Source organism: Homo sapiens, chromosome 11, assembly GCF_000001405.40.
Source record: "Homo sapiens chromosome 11, GRCh38.p14 Primary Assembly".
In the NCBI taxonomy this organism is placed as follows: Eukaryota; Metazoa; Chordata; class Mammalia; order Primates; family Hominidae; genus Homo; species Homo sapiens.
This window is the reverse complement of record NC_000011.10, coordinates 99,249,120-99,272,387: the sequence shown is the minus strand read 5'-3', so window position 1 is coordinate 99,272,387 and position 23,268 is coordinate 99,249,120. Positions and strand designations below refer to the sequence as shown.

Here is a 23,268-nt window from a genome sequence, read left to right as displayed (position 1 = left end):
TTGCATTTGTTATCTTTCTATAAGCTCTTAACAGCAAAACTCTATGTTGACCAATCAGTGAATTATGATTTGCAGTTAAAAAAAAAAAAGACTGCTTACTCAAATAGATCTCCATTGAATATAAAAACACAAGTACAGGTACAGCACAAGACAATATTTAAAAGCATACATTCTTGGACCAACCTGCTTGAGCACAAAATGTGACGCAGCCAGTTAGTTTTGTGACATTGGGAAAGATACTTAGGTGCTCTGTGCTCAGTTTTCTTGTGAACAAATCGACTAATTAAAACCCTTATATCATAAAGTTGCAGTAAGAATTGAATAAGTTTTTATGTATAAACCTTGTAGGGTTGACTGAAAGATAGTAATACATTTTGTGATAGTTTTAAAATATAACACCTACCAGTGGAGACTAATTCCCCTACATTTGATTGTGGTGCATTTCTTAGTAACTTCTAACAGGCTGAACATCGTGAAAATGCTTGAGTGTGACTTCCGAAGGTAGGTCGTAAAACACATTGAGGCTTCTATCTTTTTTCTTGGATCAGTCAGTCTGGGCAAGGCAGCTACTAAGCACTGAGGACACTCAAGCTAGGCTAAAGAAACATCCATGTGGCAAGCGACTAAGGGCTTTTATCAATAGTCAGTAAGGACCTGAGCCCACCTGCTGACAGTTTTGTGAGTTCTCTTGGAAGTGAATTCTGCAGCTCTAGTTAAGCCTTTGGATCACTACAGCCCCAGCCAACACCTGGATCACATCCGCATGGAAAACCTCTTGCCAGAAATACCCTACTTAGTCCTTCACAGACTCTTAACCCACAGAAAATGTGAGATGGTAAATATATGATGCTTTAGGCTATGAATTTTGGAGTAATTTGTTATGTAGCAATAAATAATACAAGTGTTATTATGATTTGAGTCTAAATTGCACTGATAATTTTATTCTAAAAATGAATAAATTTTGTCAAAGTGTATTTCCCCATCCCATAAATAAAATAGTTTCAGATGTTTTACAACAACTGAAAAGTAGAACTAACAGTTTCCAGGATGAGCATTAATAAAATATGCATTAAAATATACTATTTTAATTACCGTGCGTGTTTTTCATCAAAAGAAGTAGTTAAATAAAAAAATGCATTTTCCATTAATGTTACACATCACACTTAATTGCTCCCACTTCAGAATTCATAAGTCTGATTAAATTAACTTTTTTATGTCCTGAGGTGCAAATTAATTTTATATCAACATAAGATTATTTTTGTTACACAACAAATGGAGACTATAAAACTAGGTAAATTATGCCAGTTTGTACACTCATTCATTCATTTATCTAGCAAATATTTATCATGTTCCAAACACAGCTCTACACTCTGAAGGTGTAATGTATGAAGACAGACATGATTCTTTTGCTTCATGGAGCTTTTAGTCTAGGAGAGTATGTTGGTAACAACCCTGATTTTCATCTAAATAACACACAGGAAACTTTTACCAAATCATGCCATTACGTTGAATACAAACATGCATTCTATGCAGAGTCCCTGTTTCACAGATGTAATTATTATGTAGGACAGAACAGAGCCACCATGGCTGTATTGGCACCATGTTTCAAAGTGGATTTGGAATTAGTATTATTTCTTCTCAAATACATGAATGACAGCATGTCGGTATAATATTAGGAAGGCTGGCAGAGAGTTTCTGTTCTAAATGCCTATTATTAATTTCACTTTAACTCACAAAATTTTATTAATAGAAAAACATTTTGTGCTCCAAAAATGAAGATGAACCTTAGTAGAGCTGGTAGAGGTCATATGTAGACTATTTTAGGAAACATTCGAGAAAAAAGACTCATTCATAATATATTCAAAGTTATATTCCCAATTCTGATGGAAGAAAGGAGTAGTGTTATAGACCAAAAATACTGTTCCCGAAGGTTTTGGGGTTAGGTCTCCACTGATGAGAGGTAAGAAGGTTAAGAAGGTGCTGGAAAAATTATTATTCATGAATTTTTAGAATTATAGCATAACGACAGGGATGTTTTGCTTATTTAGAAGGACTGAAGATGGTGTAGATTAATTTGGAAAAATAAAAAATGCATACCCTAATGAAAAACTATTTTAAATATCCACTCTATTGTGGTTTTGAAAATTACTTAATACATGTATTACTCAATAAACACATTTCAAAGCATAACATTTTATCTCATAACTATGTACAATTACTATGTGTCAGTTAAAAATGAAATAAAACACAAAAATATGGAACAGTGTTTTTAAGGGCTTGGTGGAGTAGGGTTAAAATGAGCACAGGATACAAACGTACACGACTGGTAAGTAAATAAAGAGATTAAGAAGGGCACACACACCAATCCTAACAAGTTTTATGTAAGGCTAGTCCATAGCATGTAAATGTTTACCAAGTCTACGTTTTTCTTCTGCATTTTTTCCCAAGTAGAGTGTTTGCTATTTCAGAAGAAAAGCATAACAACTACCAAATTGAATAACATAGTATCAATTATAATATAAAACAGTCACTTATGAAAATCAAATTCTGCAATTTATATCTAATTCTTGTGGGATTGTTTTCCTCTAAGAGACACAATGCTTATGAAAATAATCCTACCCTAGAAGTAAGTTTATAATATTATAGATGACTTATCTGAAATATTTTCAATTATCTTATAGTACATTTATATTTCAAGTTGTGTAGACTCCTAGATTGAAAAAATGTGTCCAGTGGAAGTTTGGTCAACACTTTTGTTAATATAAGATATCTCTGGACATGAAGGAAGACCTTACATTGACTCTGAGTAAGGACAAAACAGGTTTAAAAAATACTTGCCTTGCCACACGCATAGTACAAGATCATTTCTTGTTTACAATCACGTACCTGTTTAGAATAAAAACTGGTATGTTCTATATGCAGTTCAGTGTTAAATGCCAAGCAACAAACAAACAGGTCAGCTCTTTTGAGTACATTATTTTTTAAACAATCTTTATATTATTAGTTTGTTTATCTCCCCCACGATTTAAAAAAAAAAATCAGGGAACAAATAAAAATATGTCATGTATATATCATTAAACTATTACCTAAAGTAATAAAATGTAACATAAATATAACACAGGAGATAATAATTAATCCTTCTATTTTAAAAACAAAGAAAATGAGAGACAGAAAAGGATTTAACAAAGGGCACTTAACGAGTCTCTAGCAGAGATGGAAATAAGACTAAGGCACCAGGCAGCTCTACCACACCCAACATCATGGTGCTTTGGCACTTCGACAGGATGATTAACTTTGACAGGTTAAATTAACACAAACATAAAACAGAGGAAATCTATCCTTGCTTGTCTCTCTGCCAGGAAATACAAGCCTGTAATTGCTGTGATCCAGCTCTTCAGCATAAAACAGGTCAAATGCTTACATCAAGAGATTGATTTTGCGGAAGAAGACTCTACTCTGATTTTAGGGTCATTGGAGATTACTATCCTTTCACAGCAGGGCTTTCTCTTTAAATTCTACCTGGGTTAAATGTAGGTACATCTAAATACCATGGCCTTTCTAAACACATCCTTTAAAAGGAATTAGACAATCATTAGACGAATGCTCTAAAAGGAATTATGTAACTACACTCTAAGCCTTTATTTCATATCCATATTTTTTGTAAGGACAAATAAACACATTTGAGCACATATTTGTTCAAAAATATATTTGATGTGATGTGTGTTGATCCAATTATTCCTCACTGATTATGTATACTACCATACCAGACATTTTGGCTTGCACATTAAAGATACTATGACTTCTCACTTCTTTACCTAAAACGCAATGAATAAACACCTTTCAGGGTCCTTGTTTTCATGATAAACAATGTAGGGACTAATAATGACCTTTTTGCAGTATTTTTTCAATAATGCTTTTATAATTTTCCATTATATTTTATTTTATATATGATCTAATATTATAATTATTACTTTACTAATTTACTCATAATTTTCAATTTTATTAAAAATAATCTCATTAAACTGAATTTAACCTTTGGAAATGGTTAAATCATTTTGGCCAGTGTTGATATGCTTGTTTCTGGCTTTGTTTTTATAAATTCTCCAACTCATTGGTTCTACTTTCCAGTCCAAGCCATTGGCTTCTAGGCACCTTTCTTTAATAGCTACTTTTTATTCTGGGTTTATTGAACTGTCTTAAACACATTATATGTTTTATATTTTTTAATCTCAAAATAGCTCTTGGTTGAGATAATGGAGCTCAGAAAGATTAAGTAACTTGCCTAAAACCAAATAGCTAGCAAACAGCAGAGTGATGATTTAAAATGAGGACTGCCACATACCTTAACTAAATAAGAAATACCTCTGTCATGTGGACACCATGCTCTTGGTTCAACTTGCACCCAAACAAGACTTGATCCTTTGTATAATGTGTGTGTGTGTGTGTGTGTGTGTGTGTGTGTGTGTGCGTGTGTGTGTGTGTTTACTTGATAGAGAAAGAGAGAGAGAGCACAAGGAGGGAATAAGAGAGATCTCTAAGTTTGGCATAAGTGATAGAAGAGAAATACAAGGATACCATGAATATCTGGAACTCACAGATGAATCCATACACTGCAATGTGTTAGTGCATTAGAATATGAAGCAAATGGAATTCAATGAAATGGATGCTTATTCACTTATTAATGTTTTTCATTGATTTTATGGGAAGCTTATAATGGTTGTATGCCCTTTCATCAAAAAGAAGATGGAGCCAATTTAAATGTTTTAATTGTTGGGGTTAGAAATAGATTTGCTTTTATCAAATCAATATTGCCTTGACCAAGTATCAATTAAACTAACAAGGCTCCTACTATCACATGAACGAAGGGGTTTAATTAAATTTCTTTCTCTCACTTTCATAATGAGAGAAAAAGATAAGTGTTACATTTTTGAATTGCACATAGACTGTAACATAGATACCAAAAATATAAGCGTTAGAAAGATTGAAATTTACATTAAAGACACCAACTGAAAAAAAGATATTTTCTTCATCATTCCATTTTCCATATTTCTAAGAATATTTCCACCATTTACCTTTGTCATCTTAAAAAAACTAACAAACTCACGTGGTTATTTCATTGTTAGAACTAGTTGGAAGTTTGCATTTTCTATGAACAACCCTAGCATTGGGAATTCTATTGTCAATAGACAATGACTTATTAAGGTCTCAGTCAAGTCTTCAGAGTATTATTTCTATCCTTGTCTAGCTGGCTTCGTGGTATCAGTGTCATTCATCTTCATTCTTCTCCATGTTATTACCATTTAAGAAGTTTTAGAATTCACGTCTTATCCATACTCCCAACCTTTTTTTTTAAAGCCTTCTCTTATTCTCCAGTACTTACAGAATGCAGTTCAATTTTCCTTAGGATTAAATTCAAAACTTTTAAATCTTCCTTCTGTCCATAGTCCAAGATGCCAGAGCACTTGGACTAACTGCAATTCCATAAAAACACTGCAGCTCTTATTTTTGTTATTTGAGGTTGCGCATACTTATCTGTCTCTGCTGAAAATGGCTTCTCCCATCATCCTTTCTGGCAAAGTACACTTGTTCCTCATTATTTGTTCAGGGCACCTCCCCCCATACTAAAATTTGCAGATGCTCAAGTCCCTTATAAAAAATGGCATAGGCTTTGCTTATAACCATTATGCAATATACGTCACAGTAATACATTATGCTATGTTGGCAAAATGTTTTCATAGTTTAATGTGCTTCCTCCCATATGCTTTATTCATTTATTATTATTTTTTAAGACAAGATCTTGCTCTGTTGCCCAGGCTGAAGTGCCGTGGTGCAATGATTACTCACTACAGCCTCAAACTCCTAGGATCAAGCAATCCTCCAGCCTCAGCCTCCAAAGTAGCTAGAAATACAGGCGCATGCCACCATGCCTGGATAACTTTTAAAAAATCTTTTGTAGAGATGGAGTCCCACCAAGTTTTCTAGGTTGGTCTTGAATTCTTGGCCTCAAGCGATCCTCCCACCTATGCTTTCCAAAGCACTGGGATTACCTGTGTAAGCCACTGTAACTGGCCTGTCCTCTATACTTGAAATCATCTCTAGATTAGTGATAATATCTAATACAATGTATATGCTAAGTAAACAGATGTTATAATGCATTTTTAAAATGTTGTATTGATATTATGTACTTATTTATTTATTTATTTTGTTCAAATATCGTCAATTGTTGGTCAATTGAATTCATGAATACAGTGGGCTATATTATTGATTTATCCAGAAACAGATCAAACACCATTTCCTTTCTGAACTTATTTTTATACTTCCCCTGCTTCCATCTTCCTCTGACAAACTTAATCACTTATCCTCTGTTCTTCCTATATCTTGTACATTTGTATCATAGAATAAATTATGCTATATTGTCACAATCTGTTTATGTATCTGTTTCTATCATTGAAATTCAAATTCAGTAATTCAATGTTAACCTTCTATTTATCATTCTATACCTTATGCCAAACTTAGAGCTTAATATAGTATATAATAGACACAGCTACTTACCGAGTGAATGAGATTTTATTATTTTAAAGCCTATTTCATTCAATAAATAGTAAAATGGATTATGGTGATCGGTGGGGAGCAGTAAGCAATAAGTAATACTGTTGTAATGGATGATTTGTTTTCTAAGATAAAATATATAAATATAAATATGAGTTGGGTGGGAAGGGGCTGGATAAGAATTTCACATAAATTACTGAAAATTACAACTTAAAAATCAAGCAGCAATTTATTTTCAACATTAGAAAGGGAAAACCCTCAGCAAGACATCAAATATTTCTACCTTTGTTATGCAAGCTACAACACCTCTAATCATTTTGCCTAGAGCTTCAATCATGCCAATTTTCAAATATGTTGTCTTTCCCTGTTTTATTGTCTTTCAGCTTCATTATGCACTAAACCAATTAATTAGAGCACCAAATAATAGGGCCACAGTTCCAAACTAACTTGCAATATTATCACCCTTTTGCCAGTGGCAAAAGCAATGATAACAATGATAAATCTATACTCTTTCTTACTAAATACCTATTAAAATAAATGATTCAGTAAAAGTATTTGCACACAATTCTACAATATGTGTGACTATTTCCTGTTTTTATAGTGCTACATGAAGAAAAAAACATTTTTTCTGCAATATTATTCTCATTCCAAATTTTTCTCTATATGCCTTACTCTTCTAGGTCCTTTTCAAGTTACTATTTTTTTTTAATTCTTTTGGAAAGAGCAAAGTTAGTGTATCATTCTAATAATACATGGAGCACACCTAAGTTTTAATTGTTTACTTTAATTCACTTAAACTCTTAAATACATTTAACAGGGAGATTGTGCTTGTTTTTTGTAGCTAACATTAACAATCTTTGCAATAAAAGTATCTAAGGATCTTCAGTACATTCAAAGAATTATAAAAACATAAAATTAGCTGATAACAAACTTTTCAAGTAGCAATATTACCTATCCTGTCATGTTGAAGTTTAACATAAAAAAATGAAGATAAATTAATATGCATTTTCTTGGAAAAATGGTAAATTTTAGTTTACTGCAGAAATTGTTCTTGGACAATATCTTATACTAATACACACAAAAATAACTTCTTAGTTTATGATCAAGTTTATGAACTTTGTAAAATTAATGATGAGAGAGGATTTTTAACAGATCTAACTTTAGGCATACATTGCTTGAAAATTCCAAACGATTGAACAAATTCTAAAGGAAGGTTTTCTCAAACTATGTTGCATGATTGAATAAAATCTATCATCTTCATGTTGCATCACTGTGGAGTAAGCCAAGTGTGTCTTCCTTTACCTCTGCTTTTATATGTAGCATTTCCCCTGCTCCAGGTACCCAGTGAATTCATATTATAGATCCCCAAATATAGCATCTCACAATCCGAGGATGGTAAGACTTTAACTCAATGCCTCCCATAAAATCTATGTTTGTAGGTTTATATATGATAGATGTTTTTATCCTAAAATTACATTTAATTAATTTCAACAAAATAAAATTATAATTAAGTGCAAAAAAGGGGTAACAATATCCAAACAAATTTTGTGTAAGTAATTTAGCCTATAAATTCTAAGAAAGGTACAATCAAGAATAATTAAATAATATTATTAAATAATATTAAATAATATCTTCTTGTATAAAATTTAAAATAATCATTGCTCTTCATTGTTCATAGTTGTAGAAATAGGTATCCTGTGAGCATGAGTTATGCTATTTTGTAACTGAAAATTATAGAATATCTGTATTTTTATTGAAGTGTGTAACTGATATTTTTTCTTTATAATGCCTGCATTCTCAATCGCAAGGGTCTATGTAAATGTACCAGAAAAATACAGCCAGAACTGTAAACAGCATATAAAGTAAATGATAAATACTTATTGATTAACTGAGTTAAGAGACTATTAACCTCAAATATGCACAGGATTTTGCTTCGGGTAACAACTAGAGTAGTATTTAGCTAATTTGACTTTTCAGAAGATAAGTAAAATGAAATAATCTTTAATCAGGGTAATATGGTAAGAACCTGTCTCTACAAAAAAAAAAATTAATAGCTGGGCATGGTGGCACACACCTGTTGTGTTGTCCCAGCTACTTGTGGGGCTGAAGTGGGAGAACCACTTGAACCCCAGAGGTCAAGGCTGCAGTGAGCCATGATCACACCACTGCCCTCCCATCTGGGTGACAGGGCAAGAACCTGCCTCAAGAAATAAAAATCAAATAAAATAATTTTTCCTTTCTCCCTTTTTCCCCCAAAGCAAGAATTTTGAACCAACTTTATCTTTATACAAATTTTCTTAGATGTTCATACTATAATGTATGTGTCTCATAATCAGAATAAATTTCCTTGAAAAATCATTAAATAAAACCAATTTTTCATAAGATATTGAGGTTTTTCACATGTAATAGACTTTTGTACAATTTTAGGCATATTAGTGTCAGATTCTTAAAACTTTGTTTTTGATATTCATAAGATTTGAAGACGATAAAGCTCAATTGACATGCACAATCATTGATCACTGAACATAATGGAACTTTTCAAAAGGATAGTTTTTTCTCCGGGATAAAAGTAAGGAACTAAGATCAGGGTAGTGTCAGCAATTGTGCTGATTACTGTTGGCATCACACAGGAAACACCTTACATGAAAAGGAGCGTAGAAGACACATAAAAACCATCTGATATATCTGCCTGTGCTCAAAATTACCTCCCAAATTTCAGAAAACCAAATTATTGGTTTTCAGAGGACTTCTTAAGACAATAGGACTTTTTGCTGACTTAATTCTTTACACTTAGGGATCATATGGCTGATGTATTCTATGTAATGGAAAGCATGGCATCCAATAAAATTCATTTTGACATAGGGAAAGAAAAGAGAGTTATAATATTCAAACCCATCCAGCCTTCATCCTTTCTTATTATCTTTCACCTTAAGAAGTGTTCTTAAGAATCAACAGTAAAGTAGCTCTGTGCTAGGTGTTGCAGGAGAAAGAATAAATTGTAAGCCATTACCATTACCTTTATCTAACTCATAAATATGAAGAAATGCATAAATATTTTAAATAAAAGAATTCAATTTAACGTTTTTAATTAAGAGGGGCCCTTAAAAACAAAGCAGAATAAAACAAGTTTTTACATAACATAATTTTAAACATTAATATAAATAAACTTCACTTGGTATTCATCCATATGTGTATGTAAAATATAATGAAGCAAAAAAAAGAGAGAGAAAAAAAAAAAGAAACAAAGAAGTCTATGATAAGCAATACATGTTTTTTGGCTCAGAAGACAAGGAGGTTAATTATGCCAACATTTTGAAAGAGGTATTATAGAGTAGACAAAATAAAAGCTGTCCTCCTGATTAATAAGTGAAACTTAGAGAATAAATAATGGGAAGAAGTTCCCGTAGAAGATGCTCAATCAATAATAGTAGCTATCATTATGATTACTATCATAATAATTATCATCATGAAATTCCATTATCAAAATAATAAAAACAAAGTATTTCCAAAGTTAATTTCAAGTACTGTTTTAAGGGTGTCAAATAGATTGTTTTATTCATTCATCATGAATTCTCTCTGAGTAAGGTCTGTTTTTAAAAAGGGAAAATAGGCTTGCAGCTTAAGCCTCTTTCCTAGGGCCACAGAGTTAAAAACTGTTAGAGGTGAAAGTCATATCTCAGTACTCTATCTCCAAAGGCCATGGCTTTCAAATGTCACAGTTTAATCCCTGCTTAAAGGAAATATTGAGAGGAGGAAATGTCATGAATCTCAGGGACTACATGATCACCAGTATGGTTTAAGCATATGGTTCACATTAGAAATAAACCTTAATTTCAGAAGCTCAATTAGGAGATTTTAGGCTAAGGAATATCCTTAGAGACTCCTTTGGTAGATGGAATGCCCGAGGGGTGCTGAACATCAGCTTTGCTTTCTCATGATTTGGCTTAGGAAGGCTCTACAGTATGAGAATTTACAGGGATTTAGACCCCATGTCAATCAGATTGTACTGAAAGTTATGCCACAAATGTGTCGTAATAAAAGTACATGCTTTGTGTAAGTCACTCTAGATGTATAAGAGAATGATATCAAATTCAAATACACCTATCACCTTACCTATCTTCAAAGAGGGTAATTATGATGATGTTAGTTATGAAAATTACACCACAAAACTGACAAATGTGTATGCATCTGAGCCTCACTGCTCAACCCCAAGGGAATATCACTTCAAGTGTCAACGCCCCTGTTTACATGAAATGGATTCAGCATTTTGGCATTAGCATTTATTTTAGCCCAAAGATAATAGTGTTAAATTGTTTTATTTTCTATTGTGTTATTTTGGAGGTTACTGACAGTTTTCAGTTAAATATAGATAAACAAAACACATTCAGAATAAACCTGCTCTTATGTATATAGGAGATACAATAGCTTCAAAAGCAAACATTTTAAACAATCAATGTTTTACTACATTAAACCCAATAAACAGGGGCTATTGAGTAGGTATTTCTATTTTGTTGCCCTTATGAAGATATTGTCTAAGAAGAATTACACATTTTAATTTTAAAATCTCAATTACATGTCACAATTAACTCTACGATTCAATTTTCTTATTACTTATTATTTTAACCAATATTCATGGGACTTATGGTATGTGACATTGTATGTGTTCATTAGTTTTACATTACTGGTTAGCTATTAAATATTACAGATCTTTTATAATATGCATGTATTTTAGGACTGCATTTTTTTTACTGGTTGAATATAATGGCATGGTAGATTTTTAGATAAATAGAAGTTTTGACAATTGAAAAAGGGGATCATTCTATAATCTCTTTAAGTTTATCTATAAATACTGATTCATCACAAGTAGCTCCAAGTAGCTATGCAATACCATTCAACTAAGAGTAAACAAATGCCCACATCTTGCTTCCGAAGAGTTTGGAATTTCCCATCAGTGATGTTATACATACATAGCATTTGTAGGATTCCTAAGTGCCCTCACAAGTCCCACTGATACTAACATAATACCATGAGATCAGCTTTATCTTCATTTTACAGACAATCAAATTGGCTTAAATTAGTCAAGGACACATAGCTAGTAATTGGGAATATGTGAATAAAACCTTGATAACCATCCAATAATACCATATTTTTTCTACACACTGCCTCTCTAAAAACAAGAGGATTGTGAATATGAAGTAAGAATTTTGATGCTAATTTTTAGTTGTGTGTAGTTTTCTTGTTTTCAGAAATAATGATTTGGACCAAATTTTGAAACAAAGTATAGTTATATTTAGTGACATTTAAAGGAAGAGATAAAAGAATCTCCTTTTGATGATTGTAAACTTCCAAGAGATATTTTGTGTTTAAAAATTATCATAATATTGACTTTACCCTTTCTATATTTTAGCAGTAGGCACCTGTGAACAAAAATATTTTTAAAATTCCATTTTTTCTTAAAGAAAGTTCTAAATCTTTAATGAGGGAGGCATTGTACATGTGTAAAGAGCACTATCCACATTTGATTGAGCATCAAAAAACAATTACACAGAAGAATTAAAATACAAAATCTTAAAATATATATATTTAAGGCAGTTTACATACATCCCCAAATGAATGAAATGCTTACATGTAAACAATAAATTAATAGAGTTAAGAAATATGAATCTATGTTTGCAATAATAGGAATCCCAGATGTTACAAAAAGATAGCCACATTAGACTACATACAGATTTAAAACTTTTGCATGATAAAAATTATGAACAATGAATTCTATAAGAAAACAATATATAGGGACAATATTTTCGCTTCAGGTAACAGATGAAGATTAATATTTATATAATACAGAAAGGACTTACAAATTGACAAGGAAAATTAAAAAAGTGAAAAAATGATAAAAGGTTATGAATAGACAGTTTACAGAGTGACCAAAATATATGAAATGGTGCTAAATTTTTCTATTAGCCTAGAAAATAAAATTTCAAATAACGAGATATTGTTTTTATACCACATGAGTCTGGAAGAAATAAACAAAATTATAACATGGACTGTTTTCAGAAGTGCAGAGCAAAAGGTACTCTTATTCAATACTCCTAGAAATGTGAAATTATTTTCAAAAGCAATTTTGTAAACCTCCTTTCAATTTCCACAGGCACATAAAACACACACTAACACACACACACATTCCTTTAAACCAAGACTCAACAGTTCTTGTCCTCAGAATATATCCCATCCAAATAAAATTACTGTAGTTCAGGAAGAAAACATGTCAAAACAAAGACCATGCCTATCAGTTGAAAAACCTGTGAGTTTTCTTTGCCATATATTAGCATATAACAATTTAAAGGAGTGAATTGGAGCTATACTTGCTCACCACTGCAGATAAATGTCATTGAGTAATGAAGACACAAGTAAATTGTATTTAGTATGATCTCACTTTTTAAGCAAAAAAATGGTGACATTACAAAACATGGCATGTGAATATATTAATATTAATACTTATGTGTAAACATACTAACATATATGGGTATAGGATTTTAGAAGTAAGGGCGCAGAGGAAAAATACTAGATTATTTACATGGAAAAGAGGGGGAGTATACAAAAAAAGCAAGAATATGTGATCGTATTTGTTTAAATTCAGAAAATAAATGGATACATAATTTGTGCATAGCAAATGCACTGGCAAACATGATACCTTATGCATACATATATACAATACTATTTGCATGTATTATGTGTGTATGTTATTCATTCATATTATATATTACATTAACTTATCTTTAAAAACAAAGTGTTATATCATAACTCGAAAATAATACTATACTTTGCCTTAAATTTTTCTTATTGGCCTATTACTCTCTAGCTATAAATTTTTAATTCCTAAAGATAGAAACTTTAATAAAAAAACACAAATCAGTATCCTTTTGGATATGAGTAATTTTAAAATCTGAAATACGCTTGACAGAATGTTTTTTGTAATTATAAAATAATTTTATATCTTAGTGTCTGTCCTATTTTCCTAATCACAACTTTTTACCTACTGACTAAATAGACAGTGAAATTTACATTCAACCCCTAATAATTTTCTTTTTTATTTTTGTAACCCCAACTAGCAAAAATGCATAAATAAGAAAAAACCTAGATACAACGTATAATTTGACATATTTGAAATATTATTACCATTATAATGAATGAGTTTATTACATGTGGTTAAAATCTCTGAAGCTGAATTTTAATTATTATCTCTGCATACTTGGAGAGGGAATGATTTTTTATTTTGTAATTTTTTAACTTGTGTAAATGGAGTATGTAAAAAAGACACGTGTAAATCAAAAAATAAATAAGTGATTTATGATATGTTATCATAGGTACAATAAGTAAGACTAGGTCCAATAATAAACTCTTAAGAATATATTGTTTTGTTTGTGCAGGGACAGAAAACCAAATATAGCATGTTCTCACTTTTAAGTGGGAGCTAAATGATGAGAACACATGGTCACAGAGAAGGGAGCAGCAAACACTGGGGCCCACTTGAAGGTGGGAGGAGGGTGAGGATCAGGAAAAATAACTAATGGGTACTAGGCTTAATATTTGGGTGATGAAATAATCTGTACAACAAACCCCCGTGATATGAGTTTACCTATATAACAAACCTGCACATGTACCCCCAAACCAAAAATAGGAGTTAAAAAAAGAATACACTCTTTTGTTTGAGAAGTCTCATAAACACGGGACATTTGAGATTGCATTCACATGGATGTGGTTTCAAAACTCCGCGAGAATTTCAGTTTTAGGTGTTCAGGGGGAGAAAGGCATTGTGATATAGCATGAAGAACAAGGAATTTCATCTCACTAAATTTCCCTTCTATCCCTGTGGGACCTTTGGTGAGTCAACCTCTTGTCTCTTAAGCGTAAAATAGGAATGATACTTCTTTCAGAGGCTTAATGATAAAAAATTAGGTGACATACTTGATAATTACTTTGTAAACATTAGAACAATACAGAAAAGTATGATTGTGATCCTCTCATACTTTTGTTTATATTTTTCCCAAATTCTCCACTTTCTTACATTTCTCTTAAAGCTATGCTTTACAGGATGCTTGTGTATGTATACTATAATATGAAGACATACACATTAGAAGACAGTCTTCATGAAACTTGCCTTGGCTTCAGAAATGAGTATATTTATTCAACTACTTTCCTGAAATCTGAACTTGCTAAGATAGAATCCAAAGCGTAACCATTTCAATATTAAAAATAAATGAATAAAAAATTACACCTTTTTTTCATTAAAAAAATCAATGAATATCCACAATGTTCTTTAAATTGGCTGCAACAATCACTATGAAGTGTTCTCATCATGAAATTATAGCTCCTTTTAAGATAGGTATGGATAGTTTGACAAACTAGTAAAGATGGATAGTTTGACAAACTAGTAAAAAGAGCAATAAAAACAGTTTGTAGACATGTCTTCATCTCCACCAGTCTACAGTGAGGTTGTGCAACGTTGAGCAATGCTCTTAGCTTGTGACAGTTCACTTCCTCACATGTGAAATGGAATTTGACCTACCCTTCCTTCCTGGTTTTATTCACATGGCACCTTTTCCAGAGTAAATATTTGTGAAGATGCTCTGCAAACAATAGAGTTTTTATTCCTAAATCTAATAGAGAATGGAAATAAATTTGTTGAATTCTCCCAGATTTTGTTCTGTTCTTACCTTTCTTCTGAACCATGTGCACCTTCTCTAACACATGTAACAGACCCTGAGAAAAATGCAGACCCGAATCTGAATCTGGCTCTGTCATTTGGCATCTGAATGATTTGGGCAAAGAGCTTAATCAGTATTATTTTTATTAGTATCCTCCTTAGCACCATCATAATGTCATTACCTTATTTTTAAGGTGTGCATCTATCTTGGAATATGTGCAAACATTTACTTGTCCTTTTTTTAATATGTTCTAAACATTTTGAAGGAGAGTTCATGTGTGATTGTAGGGTAGATGTTATAAAACCACAGAAACACATAGAAGGTATTGCGTAATAATTTTTTGTATAGTTTGTGAATTCAGTTTCATTAATTTGTTCTGTTTATATTATCTATGTAGTTCTTGTAATTTTATTTTATATGCTGTACCCTAAGTTTAATAGAAGCCACTGAAAAGAGTCCCTTGCTTACAGGAAAACTTTGGCATAAATATATTTTTGATAAATTATGTAATCATTTTCCATTGGTAATAAATATATCTATATATTTATAGTATTTTATCTAGCATTCTATTTTGATAATATCCTTTATTAATATCACCACCAAGCCTTATGAAATAAATGCATTATAAATAACTAAAAGGCTTTACAATCCAGTTGCTATTTGTGGTCAAACAAAACATATATATAAAATGCTGAATTCAACTGTAATAGTTCTTCACTCTTAATAGTTTTATAGATGGCTTTTGGCAGTTCTATCAAACACAGCTGCAGGGCTCTTTCAATTCAAAGGAACACTCATTTCTCTAAGAAATTGTACAGTAAGACCAGAGAAAGTCTCTATTTATAAAAATCTAAATGCTTGACATTTGTATACACTATAAAGGGTCTAGATGTCCAGATATATAATAAACAAATCAAAGCTATAGAAAATGTGTCCTCAACCTCTAAAATGGGTAAAACACCAGATAAAATAGTTTTTCACTTCATTTTATTTTCTATTTTTGATTTGTAACAAAAACTCAGAATATATTGAATATGTTTTCTAATTGTAAATGTTCTTCATAGAAATTGTAAAACAAGAAAATACTATCTGTCATTTAATGATAGAAATATTTCTAGCCTACTGATCATTTTTGATTTTGCTCCCAAATTCTTTATAGATTTAAACAATCACAATTTCAGGGTGTCACTATTAAATTCCTTATCTTTAAAAAGAACTGTTGCTGAACTATATCAAGTATAAAGCTTTATCAGAGTGGAGAAACGAAAGAGCACCCAATGTGGGGTGTGTGTGTGCGTGTGCATGTGTGTGCGTGTGCGTGTGTGTGTGTGTGCGTGTGTGTGTTTATGCATGTATGTGTGTATATATAAAATATATAAATAAATATTACAAAATTATAATGACCATATTTTTATTTTGTAAAAAATGCACAATTCTTTTAATTCATACTTACTATGAAGCTTTCAAATTAGAAACTAGCTCTTTATTTTTCATTAACTAACAAATAGATGTAAATTTTTTTGTGGTCCGTTAATCTCCTGAATATCTATTTGCAGTTTTTAAATTCATATGGTAAAATGATAGCAATCTTAGATTTGTATCTCATATATGTGACTCTAAAGTATTTATTTAATTAATTTATTAATTATATTAGTGTAATATTATTAGGCATTCTAAAATCTTTAAACAGAATTTACGTTGGTAAAAGCTTTCTTCACTTTGTATGTCATAAAATATATTTATTCCAAATACCCACAATAATTTATCCCCTTCAACTTTTATTGTTGTTCACCCAAAATAGTAACTATATGTTAAATACTATTCGTTACATATAGTTAAATAACTATATGCTTAATTACTATTCATCAACTGTTTCATTTTCTGGATATATTTTAAAAATAATCATCCCCAAATCATTAACTCTTTTCTGGCATTAATATTAACTGCAGTTTTCACCAAACAAATGTTTGATGTTCTATTCTATTCAAGTAATGCACAGGTGACTCACCCTATACATGTTGCTAAGTATAATATATATATAATAGAAATAGTTTCTTGACAAATATTGGCCTTACCCCTTTCTATTTTGTTCTTGTTGGATAAGTATCTTAGTTTTTCCACATAATTTAACATTGCTAAACCTCATTAAGAAAACATCGGCTTGTTCAAAATAGTATACTAGTCAAAGGAAAAAGATTCTTTGGCCAAAATAAATGCTTAATTTTCCCCCTACAGAAATATTGGAACTCAACCTCCTGCTTTTTAATTATTTTCAGGGTTCACCTTTTATTAAGCACATTTTACTCTTTGTTAATATTGGGGTAACATGAGAAAAATTTATGATGTCAATAATATTCAATGACCACAATAAGTTAATTAAATGATAGCATACATTATTATTAAAATCTGTTGATTTAAACACTTCCATGTATATATTGAAATAAATCATACTCTGACTGAGATATTTTTGTTATCATGAAACTAAAATTACTAAAATAGGAACATTCAAGGTATCAACAATTCAACTTCAGTAATAAGGAATCTGGGACAAATATAGTTCATATTACTACTTTTATCACTGCCTTTGTAAGTAGCAGAAAATAAAATTAGCCAAAGCAATAGCTTCAATTAATGTAAAGATACATTTTACTGATGCAAAATCTATTTCCTCATGATTTAATTTTCCAAATTGGAGAAAAACAAAATGACTACTTTTCTCATAACAAATAATTCTCAACTGAGTTTCCATGATGTATTTCGGCAGTACTTAATATTTAAGTTCACAGAATTCACCCTATTTCGTGAAAGCAATACATCACTGAATATTCATGTTATTCAGTGCAAGTATAATTTTTTTAAACTAAGTCTTTATGTTTCTTCTTCCCTAGAATACTTTATCCATCCATACCTGTTCATCTCTCCTCTACAACATAAGTTCCTCCATTAAGTAACGTTCAACCACCCCAGTCCACCATAATTCTTTCTTTGTATGATCTAATATAGCATTAATTTAATATTACCATTGGTAACCATTATTTGAAACTTAGAATGCCACTGTGTGTTACTGCAATCTTTTAAATGAAAAAAGCCAAATTATAAATATTATTTTGGATTTATAACAGGTTGCTATTTAAACATTGTTTCACAATATATGATGAGCATGTGTATGTATATATTAATGCATAGAGCCTATGCATATGTTCTACCAAATATATATATATATATATATATATATAAACGTATATTTGTGTTAATACATTTTCATATAGACAACAGGGAAGGATCCATAGATAAACTATTATAGTTAATGAGTTTTATAAAAGTTGCTGGGTGCAAAGTAAACACATACAATCAACTGCATATATGCACACGAGGAACGAGTGTGAAAACAATATAAAAATACCCATTATATGTATAATAAAAATTATACAGCAACGAGGGATAATGCTATCAGAGTGCATACAATCTAAATAAAGAAATAGAATGATCATATTCAGGGGTGGGAAGAGTCAATTATCTAAAAATAACTAACTCAAATTGACCAATGTAGTTAGTAAAATTAAATAAAAAAATCTTAGGTGAAATGTATCAAGTTAATCTTAAAATGCACATAGAAGTACAAGCAACAAAATAAACTCTTAAGAGTCAAACACTCTTAAAAAAGAACAAGGTATACAAATTTATTACAAAAATATGGAAATTATGGCTATACGTTGTTGACGTAAATATGGCCAAATGAATGCTATTAGTCTGTTCCCATGCTGCTAATAAAGACATATCTGAGACTGGGTAATTTATAAGGAAAGAGATTTAATGGATTCACAGTTTCATATGGCTGAGGAGGCCTCACATCATGGTGGGAGGTGAATAAGGGGCGAAGTCATTCTTACACGGCAGCAGGCAAAGAGCTGGTGCAGGGGAACTCCAATTTATAAAACCAACAAATCTCGTGAGACTTATTCACTACTTATCCACTGTTATGAGAACAGTATGGGGGAAACTAATGCCATGATTCAATTATCTACAGCTAGCCTTGCCCTTGAATCGTGGGGATTATTACAATTCAAGGTGAGATTTGAGTGGGGACACAGCCAAACCATATCACGAATTAATGAAATATATATAAGGGAACCCATAAACAGAACTCTACTTAAATGTGAAAGCCAAAAAAAAAAAAGAGATTTAAGAGAACTTGCTATAGCATCATAATAAGAATATTAATGAAGAAGACACAAAATGTACAAACCATAAAGAAAAGATGAATATTAAAATATATTCAACTTCATTGTAATCAGGAGAAATTATTTGCAACACAATGTCTCCAATGAATTAGAGCATAGACTATATAAAGAAATATCAATTCAGTAAAAACTTTAACTGGCTTTTCACAGAACAAAAAATATAAAGAATCAAAATCCTGAGAAAGGACAATTTAATTGATTAGTAACTAGCGAATTAAACTTTAAGCCACAATGGGTTAATATTTTATGCTCACCAAATGAAAAAAGTAATTTAAAAGTTTTAATATCAAGCGTTTGTGAGATGATAGGTCTAGGGGGATGTTTATACACTCCTAATTGAAGTGTAAATTTCTGCCACTAATTTATATGAGACATTAGATGTTTTTTTCTTTTTTTTTTTTCCTAAGCCATTTGGGTTTGGAATTTAGTTATATATAAGATAAATGTTACTGGTTGATGAAATATGATTATTCAAAATAATTTCTGGAATAATGCTTTTAAAATTAATTTGGAGATGTGATTTTGGGGTTTTTTTGTGTGTTTTTTGTTTGTGTGTTTGTTTGTTTAAACAACTCATTAAGTAACTGACAGTTGAGGAGCAGAACTCAAGGATACCTGGCCTCGACAAATAAGCTATAGTTAAGGTCTGGGAAAATGATCTAATCCGCATAAAAAGGGTGTATACGAAAAGATGAGAGATTCATGAATGGCCCCTAAACAAAAGGCAATATGAAGTTATCAGTGGAAGAATAAGTGCAAGGTAACAAAAGTAAGAAGTGAAGAGAGATAAAGAAAATCAGGAGGGAGAATCAAGAGAATGATGGGTCTCAGAAGTCAAGGAAGACTATTTGAATAAAATGAGAATTGAGGGTCCTGATAAAGATGCAATTTGAAAGAGAAAGAAATGTAAATCAAAGTTACATATAGAAGTTTTCAGTCACTTGGATCTAAAAAGTTATGATTTGCTTTTCTAAAATAATTCCATATTAAACCTTTATCTATCATATTTATCTCTCTCACTGTTTTCCTCACGACAGGACACAAAAGCTTCTCCATATAGCCATGGATAAAGGAAGCTTTCCAACCACCACTTAGGCGTTGTATGGAAAACACATGTTACTACCATACATGAAAAAAATTTAAAAATGTTACCATTCCTACTGTGTTTTCATATTGGATTATTAGGCTACATATTTGTACGTCCACATAAAATAAAGAAGGCATTGATTCTCTCTGCTTGACAATTGTTATAGTTATAGCCCTAGAAATCAGCAATTTCCAAAGAGATACTTACGTAGGTGAGAAAGCCAAATTCATTTTTTAAATCTAGAAATATTTTACTTGAAATGTTGCCATCTACATTTATTGTATAAATTACTAGGTAAATTGAGTATTGGGTTACACATTAAAAAAAAAGATATGGAAGATACTATTTCTATAACTGACTGGCTAGTTTGTTGATACCTCCATTTCTTCTAGACATTTAAAACAACTTTACTTAAATGTATTTATCTTGTCTCCCTCAACACACACTTTCCACACACATGTATACCTGGAGGCATTATCTTATGTTAGATCATTTTCTTAATTAACCAGACAGAGTAAAGATCACATCTCTTCTCTTATAGTAAATTATTTATAAACATTTATATCATTCAGATGGGGAGGAAGATGAGACAGCAAAATAAAACATATAAATAACCTGTTTTCTTTGAATTGCTTAGATGACTTTTGTTTCCAATATGCAGAGCTTTGAAGAACAACACAAAGGTGAATGGCAATCTATAACTCTGTCCCTAGAGAGATGTATCTGATTCATGGATATTGTGGCATCGGCAAAGTTATCATTATTTCTGATATTAATAAAATGTTAATTTTAGAAAGTAGCTATCAATAGTTTCTTTTCCCAAGTCTAATTGTTTTACCCTGGGGAAATCTATAACACTCAAAATAACCATATGAACAAATTTTAGTGCCTCAAATTCTGTTTCTTCAGACCACACTGTGCACATTAGAAAATTAGACATTTAAGAGATGTAAGGGAAATTAATTGTTCTACAGAATACAAAACTTGGACCCCAGAGAGAATAAGTGACTTGTAAATGATATCGTTCACTATTTAGTATCTGGGATATGATAATAACCAAAGATAACTGACCACATGATAGTACTTGCCACTATAACAAGTATAATCAGTCATCTATGGAAACATCGCCTTCCATAGATGACTGTTTCAACTACAAGAAAAATGTGAATCCCTGTGGAACAAAATCTATCTTAAACAAGTACATCAGAATTTAAGTGGAAAAAAAATTCAGCATGAATTTAAAATACAAAAGCAAATATCTTGCATTTCCTTAGATTTTTAATATTGCTACAGCTGATTTCATTAGAGTGGACACTACTGTCAAACATACCAAGAGGCTTTCCCAATGATATTTTAAATTTATCAGTGAATTAACAATTTATTACACCAAAGCATTTTTAAGATTTAATATCCTTCATGTATTTCCTGGTATTACATTGGGCATTAGACATTAATCAACACTCAATGAATTTATAATGTCAAGTAATGACTAAATGATTCCAACATTAAAGGAAGAACCTTGTTCTAAAGTGATCTCTGTTAAGTGCAATAGGCTTGTCATGCAGGCAGTGCTGAAGTAAGTTAATTGATTTTTGGAACACAGGAGATATCACTGGTTCTAGCTTTACCACCTAATTACTATATTATACCAAGACAATGCCAACATGTCTATTCAATTATGTTATCACAAAAATGCAAAATAGTGATTTGATGCCTATTGAGAACCTATTGAAGTGTCTATGCCTTCACTGAGAAGCAACTAATGATCCCAATGTGCTCTCACCCCAAAATTCCCTAAAGCAGAATAGAAATTAATATTTTCCTTATTATATAACAAAAAAGCTCAAACAACTCTTCTCAGGATGTCTTGTCTACTATAAACTATCTAAATGTAGTGACAGTGAATAAAGAATGGCCTCTATTTGTGGATTATTATTTATGGAGCTACAGTTAATACTCAATATACTTGCAATGTTATTTTACCAACACTAAAGAAATTGTATTTATTTAAAAAGTTGAATAGGGAGAAAGTTCACTATACTAGAAGACTGTATAAATTCTTCCACTGAGGTTTAAATCTCAGGTATCAATATATTATATATATTAGATAAGTTTTTGTCTTAATTTCTCATTTGCAAAAAGAGAATCATAAAAATCTCTACATTGGAATATTTGGATTTCAAATAACATACCCTTTTTAAAAACCTAGAATATGTCCGGTATATAGTTTGTGCTCAATAATCTACTGTATTTATTACATGAGTTAAATCTGTGAGCACTTCTGGTTGATATATTTTCCCTTTGTTTCCAAAATACATTAATTTGTTCAATGGTCACAGCTATTAAATGTCTAATCTGTGTCTGTATAGTACTAAGCACTTATGCCTGTCATCAAGGCCTTGCCACAACAGTTTTTAGGTCATTGAAATGTAGCAGGGCTTCAAAATCTCCTTAAGCTGATAGGCAACTTCAGCAAAGTCTCAGGATACAAAATCAATGTGCAAAAATCACAAGCATTCTTATACACCAATAACAGACAAACAGAGAGCCAAATCATGAGTGAACTCCCATTCACAATTGCTTCAAAGAGAATAAAATACCTAGGAATCCAACTTACAAGGGACATGAAAGACCTCTTCAAGGAGAACTACAAACCACTGCTCAACGAAATAAAAGAGGATGCGAA

General features: G+C 31.2%; 1 protein-coding gene across 11 annotated transcripts in view; it reads right to left on the bottom strand.

The window, feature by feature from the left end:
- Positions 1–23,268, bottom strand: part of CNTN5 (contactin 5) — a 1,337,937-nt gene that overhangs the window by 1,086,498 nt on the left and 228,171 nt on the right. The gene's annotated exons all lie outside the window — the stretch shown is intronic.